A 6,000-nucleotide genomic window follows, 5' to 3' on the forward strand; every position below is an offset into this window, starting at 1 on the left:
AGAATAATGACTGCATTGAATGGGTATGGGATCCATTCCAAGAGTTTCTTGGGAGGGGGCTATGTGTGAGTGGGGCTTCTGGGAAGGAGGCAACATCAGCAAGGGGGTTGCAGTGAAGGTTGGCGAAAACCATGGGAGAAGAAGGGGAGGGAAGGCAATCTGATTCCAGCGGTGAGAAGGATGGAGAAGGAGCATTGAGCCACCTCAGATAGGGTTTTCCAAGGGCAGAGGAAGTACGTTGGGGGTAGGGGATCACGTGGCCATTCTGACCTCCGCTCCTGACCCTAGAAGCATGGATCCCGTGTGTCTGAACCTCCATTTCCCTATGGATGTACTGAGGACAAATAAATACCCGCTGCACCCTGCTGCCCCTCTGACTCTGAATGCACCACAGGGCGTCAGACTGGAGCCCCATGGGGGACTGAACTTGGCCCCAGAAGAGCTATAGGTTGCTGTGACCGCTGCCACAACCATTTGGGTATCACTGCCCAAATCAGGGGCCACAAGCATTTCTGCCTCTTCCAGGCCTGCGAGTGTCACAATTGTGCCCTCTTCTCATGAGTATGGTGTCTGAGATGCGGAGGGGCCAGACCTCCTCTAAATGGGACTAATCTTAGCCCTGCTATCCTTTGCTTCAGAGAACGCCTCAGGGTCTTGCCTGCTGTGAGTGCCTTGAAGAGGGAGCAGCGGGCACGATCAAAGAGACACCTGGCTCAAGGACCAATAAGGAGTATGGCTGCCCCTCCCAAAGCTCCCATCCGTGTCAGGAATTTGACCATCAGAGCAGGAGCCCTCAGTGAGTGTTTCTGGCAAGGGAGGGAGCCAGAGTTTGGGTGGAGGAAGCATGAGTGGTTCTGTCACCAGTCCTGTCACAGAATTGCAGTGCGACCTGGGGCAAATTGCTCCCTGGACCTTAGTGTGCCCAGGTGCAAAATGTCACCAATGTTGTCTACCAAGTGTTTGTAGGAAGGAGAGAGCTGGGGGACAGGGCAATCGAAGAGCTCCATGGTGAGATGAGACCTGCGACTGGAGGTGGGGTGAAGTGGGGTGGGGTTGGGGGAAAGACTCACCAAAGCTGTTCCTGGTCTTTCACAGCTGGGAAGGAGAACAACATGCTGCAGCCCGAGACCCACATCTTCACAGCCCCCGAGGAGGTAAGGAGAGTCGGTGACCAGTCGGGCAGGCTCCCACCCAGCCACTGTCCAGACATCTTTCACCGTGTCCCAAGGACATGGGTTTCATCTCCAATCCTATCACCAGCTCACCATGTGACCTTGGGAAATATCACTTCTCCTCCCTGGGCCTCAATTTCCCCAGTTGCAAAATGAAAGGCAAGACTGGCTGGTCTTCAAGGTCTTCGGAGCTCTGACATTCTAGGCTCCTATCCTCATCCTAAAACATGTCCACACCTCCTCTCTCCATGGCTGGCCTGGTACCTGACTGCAACCTGTGCTCTCTGCCCCTGCAGGGGAGCTCCCAAGGGGCTCTGCTGCTTGGCCAGGCCCCAGAACCTTTGTCTCTGCCCTGTACTCCAGTGACCTTGGAGCAGCAACTGGTTTCTCCTTCTGGGGATCCCCACAGGGCCCCTGCCCTGCCCAGCATGTGAGTAGCGTGAGGACCATGGAGCAGGTTGTGTCTTGTGTGCCTAACCTTGTCCTTGATGCCGTGGGAGATGGAGGAGGAAGAGGGGGAGGAGGAGGAGGAGGTGGTGGAGGGGGAGGAGGAGCAGGAGGAGGAGGAGGAGGAGGAGGGAGAGGAGGAGGAGGAGAAGAAGGAGGAGGGCAAGGCAGCATCTAATACTAACGGGCGAGGACAGGGCTCTCCTAGCTTTGCTATTTTCTATTTGTGAGACTTTGGACAAGTGACTTTATGTGTCTGAACCTCCATTTCCCTATGGATGTACTGAGGACAATATTCTATACCCATAGCATTGAAAAGGGAACGGGCACAAGGCCTGCCACATAGTAGGGCTTCAACAAATGGGGGTTGTTATGCCACATGAAACAGGTGGATGGGATAGAAGGTCCTGCTGAAAGGTGGGGTCCGTGCTGGCGAGGGCCACAGAGGCCCAGGGCAAAGCCCAGAGGCCATTAGAGAAAGCTTCCTGGAGACCCTTCAAGACCCATGGGGACTGGGCAATATGGAAGTGAGAACCAGTCCCTGAAGAGGGACAGTAATCACATCTCTCCAGGTGTTTTGCAAATTAAAGCACGGACACCTGTAATTTCCCATGATTTTCACCATTGCCCTGGGAGGAAAGAGCTGGTAGGAATAAGCGTCCCTGTCAGGAAAAAGAGGTATGGAAAAGAAACCTGGCCAAGCAGGAGAAGGGACTTGCCCCAGCCACAATGACTAATGGTCCAGCAGGCATTGGGATTCTCACATCCAGATACTGCAAAATCCTGCCCCTCTTTCTGTCTACTGGTAGTATGTGTCCGCCAGCGGATTTAATCCCCTGGCCTCTCCTTTCCTTGTTTCTAGATGCTCAACTCTGATCCTCCAGCCCTGTGCCACCCTTGACCCTCTTCTACTGCAGCCACAGGTCCTGGGAAAGTAGTGGGGTCCAGAACCCTGGGAGGGGCGGAGTTTAGTGGATGGGAAGAGCAGAAGGCCTTGGTGGGGGTGGGGGAGGAGGTTGAGGGAACAGGGGGCTGAAGGGGCACTTGTCGTATTGGGAAGAGGTGTAGTTTCCCAGTGCCTATTCTCTCATGCACTTTCCTTTCCAGGTCCCCAAAGTCTCTGACCAGGCTTTGGTTTCTGCCCACTCAGAGTGGCAGCGGAAGCTGGAGGCCGCTGAGGCTCTGCTGACTCTGAGAAACTCTGCCCAGGCCCCTCCTGACTCCATCTCCCTGCACCAGCCTTGCAACCCACCAGGTAGCCTGCTCCCTGAAAGGAGAATACAGGGTGGGAATAGCTGGGGAATGGGGGTCGTTGTGGTAAGCAGGTTCTAACTGAAAAATCAGAGTCAGTAAGTTGAATCTCCTTGGGGCCAGGCACCCAAGCTCCTCAGTATGACTCCCGAGATGGTAGTTGAGGGCTGTTTATTGAATCTTCGGTTTATTGAGCTTTGTGTGCAACAGCAAGCGTTCAGTGCCCTGATGTCAAGAAAGAAGGAAGCTGAGGCCCTGAGAGTGGCAGGGACTTGCCCTCTCTGATATGCATGCAGCATATCAAGTGGAAGAACCGGCCCTCTTGACTTTCAGCCCAGGGTCTATGCTCAGCCGCCTGTGGCCTACTGTGGTCTGGGGAGGACATACAGAGGTGATAAAGGGCTTGGTCTGGAAGGAGGTCTGGTCTCTGCCTTCCGGGAGCTTCCAGTCTAGATGTGGAGCCTGGATGCCCTTGCAAGCTGTGTTTTGTGGCCAAATTTTAACGATGTGCCCAGAGAGGAGGGGCTGGAGGAGCTCCGAGGGGGGATAAACAACTGGGGAGGCTGGGAGGGAAGGCTAGGCATTCCCAGATCCAAATGGTGAATGGAGCATGGTGTGTCAGTGAAGAAACACCCCTGGAGGGACTGCTGGAACAGAAAGGGATGAGGCTGGAGAGGATACCAATCACAGAGGTCTGACAGGTCAGGCTTAGGAGGCTGGACCAGCAACTGTGGGTAGTGAGGAGCCAGGGAACGTTTTCTGAGCTAGGGAGAACAATTTCAGAGACCCTGAGCTTGACAAAAAGAGTTGTGGTGGCTTTGATGGAAGGATTGGGGGAGGCAAGATGGGAGATGGGGAAATCAGAGAGGAAGAGGTCTATGCAACAGTCCAGGTGACAAATCTTTGGTTGGGTGGGACGCATAAAAACAGTAGATCTGGAAGGGGATGTGGATGTGACCTGGCTCTGGCCCCTTCCTTTCTGTCCACAGCTCCTGCTGGAGATAAAGGATTCCAGCCTCCCAGCCCCTCTCTCCGCCCCAGGCCAGCCAGCTCCATCTCGCTGCCTATTGGACATCTGGGATGCATCTCCCTCTTGAGCTAGGAACCCAGAGGAGGAGGCCTCAATAGAGCACTGCCTATTTGGTATCCAGTTTCTGAATGTGCAAAATGGTTAACGTCCAAAACGCTTAACGTCTTTTTTTAAAGCCTTCAGGTGTTTTATAAGCTTTTTATTATATGGGGCAACTCCTTGGCTGAGGGTGGATATTCTTGTACCTCTGTCCCTTACTCTTTTGGATGCTGGGGCCTTTTTCTGTCTCATAAAGACAGGATTGTGCAATCTAAGTTGATCAGTCTCTCAGTGGGGTTCTGTGTGAGTTCATATGCCAGAGTTTTTATTCGTCTTGTGATTGCTGACATACCTGTGCACTCATGTGTATACCCCTGCATGTGGAAACATGAAGATGTTTTCACTTTGTGTCTAGGTTTATGTACGTGAACAAATAATAAACCGTTGTTGTTATAAGGCACTGTGATATACGGGTTGTTTGTTACCACAGTATAACCCAGACTATCGCGACTCTAACCGATTTGTTCAATTCATGTTTCAAAGTGAGAATCACCTTATCCAATAACTGGGATTTCCTAACATGGCTAGATAAGAAAATGGTAGAGGAAAAAGAGTAGGGTATGTATTCATTGAGCAAGGAAGTACCTACCCTCTGCCTGGCATAGACTGTTTCCAGTTGCCCAGAGGGCCGTAAGTGGCAATGCCTGTAGGATCAAGCAGATCATGTAAATGAGTAGAGCAGGCCCGATGGCCTCTGGCCAAACTGACAGTGTATGCTCTGCGTAAGTGGGCAGCTGCTGCTTGGCTCCAGGCAATTGTTGCCATGCAGGGATAGCGACTCATGGTGGCCAAATTGACTGTTTTTTCAAGAGAAGATGGAATTCTAGATTTCTACATAAAATCACTCAACTTTAAACGTTGGCTCGGGTTTCTTCTTTAAGCCCTATATCTGGGCCAAACCAAACTTCCTTGAAGGACAGTTTTGGCCAAGGGAAATGCCAGTTTTGTTCTAGACCAATGTGAATTTTACAGTGGGGGAAACTGAGGCCAATCAGGACAAGAAGAATCAAACAGGAGAAATGAGTTAGACTCAGACCCTGTTTTTGAAGGACCCATGAAATATGAGGAAGCATCACTACCTTTTATTTATTCTGTGCACACCGCACTAAGCACATACAGCCTCACGGCAACTTTGCAAGCTGAGCATTATTATTGCCATTTTGCCTATGAGGAAACACACTCAAAGAATGAAAGTGACTTGCAGAAGTGGTTTGGGGGAAATTTTAAGCCAAAGATCAGCGAACACTCCCTTGTCTTTATCAGGCCCTAAATCAGCGAATAATTCGATTTTTAAATAAAGCATTGAATAAAAGGTTCAAAACTCAAAGCAACAAACATCAGTCAGAGGGTTTTTCCAAAATAGTCCCTTTATTTCTTACTCAAGGTAACAACAATATGTAGTAATCGATCAGATCTTTCTTACCTGCACTGGTTTCCCAGTCCTCTGCTGATATTCTAAACAAATGAAGACCTGGAGACCCCCCACCAGGCAGAAAGAAAGCTCAATTGGACATGCCTGGATATGGGCCCTTTTCCATGCTATTATCTCCCTCCTTTCTTCCCTCCCAGTACTTTACCCAAGACAATTGATTCGGATGACATCCAATTACAACTTGTCCTTTCTTTTTTGAGACCCCGAGAAGTCAGGATTCTTATATTCTTGATCTGATGGCAGAGAAACAAACGTGCAAAGTCACTCAGACTCGGAGCAAGACTAGACTGAAGTCCAGCTCACACCTTCCTTCTTCCCTGATTTGTTACTCGAACAAATGATCCCAAAGCCCCTCCTTTCCTAGTGATGGATGAACAAGTCCACATATTTCTGGAGGAATGAAGCGGTAGTACCTGGAAGAGGACTAAGATCCTGCTATGAAATCGTGTCCTAGGCACACCACAGTCCCACAGTTGACTTGGGTGAAAGAGGAGGCATATTTTGGTTAAAGGATGTGGCATGAGAAGAGGGAGGAAAAACAGAAATAAAGTGATGGGCATTGGGGGAAG

The 6,000-nt window shown here is 50.6% G+C and overlaps 1 protein-coding gene across 7 annotated transcripts in view; it reads left to right on the forward strand.

The window, feature by feature from the left end:
* DMRTC1B (DMRT like family C1B) overlaps positions 1-4,400 on the forward strand; it is a 71,914-nt gene extending 67,514 nt beyond the window's left edge. For 4 of the 7 annotated variants that reach the window (NM_001386972.1, XM_047442419.1, NM_001080851.2 and 1 more), the window contains exons 2-7: positions 639-796; positions 1,096-1,154; positions 1,469-1,602; positions 2,482-2,542; positions 2,727-2,874; positions 3,860-4,400. In NM_001386972.1, coding sequence (NP_001373901.1) covers positions 733-796; positions 1,096-1,154; positions 1,469-1,602; positions 2,482-2,542; positions 2,727-2,874; positions 3,860-3,972 — 579 coding nt within the window. In that variant the 5' untranslated portion in view covers positions 639-732 and the 3' untranslated portion in view covers positions 3,973-4,400. The remainder of the gene's footprint in view (positions 1-638; positions 797-1,095; positions 1,155-1,468; positions 1,603-2,481; positions 2,543-2,726; positions 2,875-3,859) is intronic. The other 3 variants (NR_170369.1, NR_170368.1, NM_001370147.1) reach the window with 2 other exon arrangements.
* The last annotated feature ends 1,600 nt before the right edge of the window (positions 4,401-6,000 follow it).

Source organism: Homo sapiens, chromosome X, assembly GCF_000001405.40.
Source record: "Homo sapiens chromosome X, GRCh38.p14 Primary Assembly".
NCBI classification, from domain to species: Eukaryota; Metazoa; Chordata; class Mammalia; order Primates; family Hominidae; genus Homo; species Homo sapiens.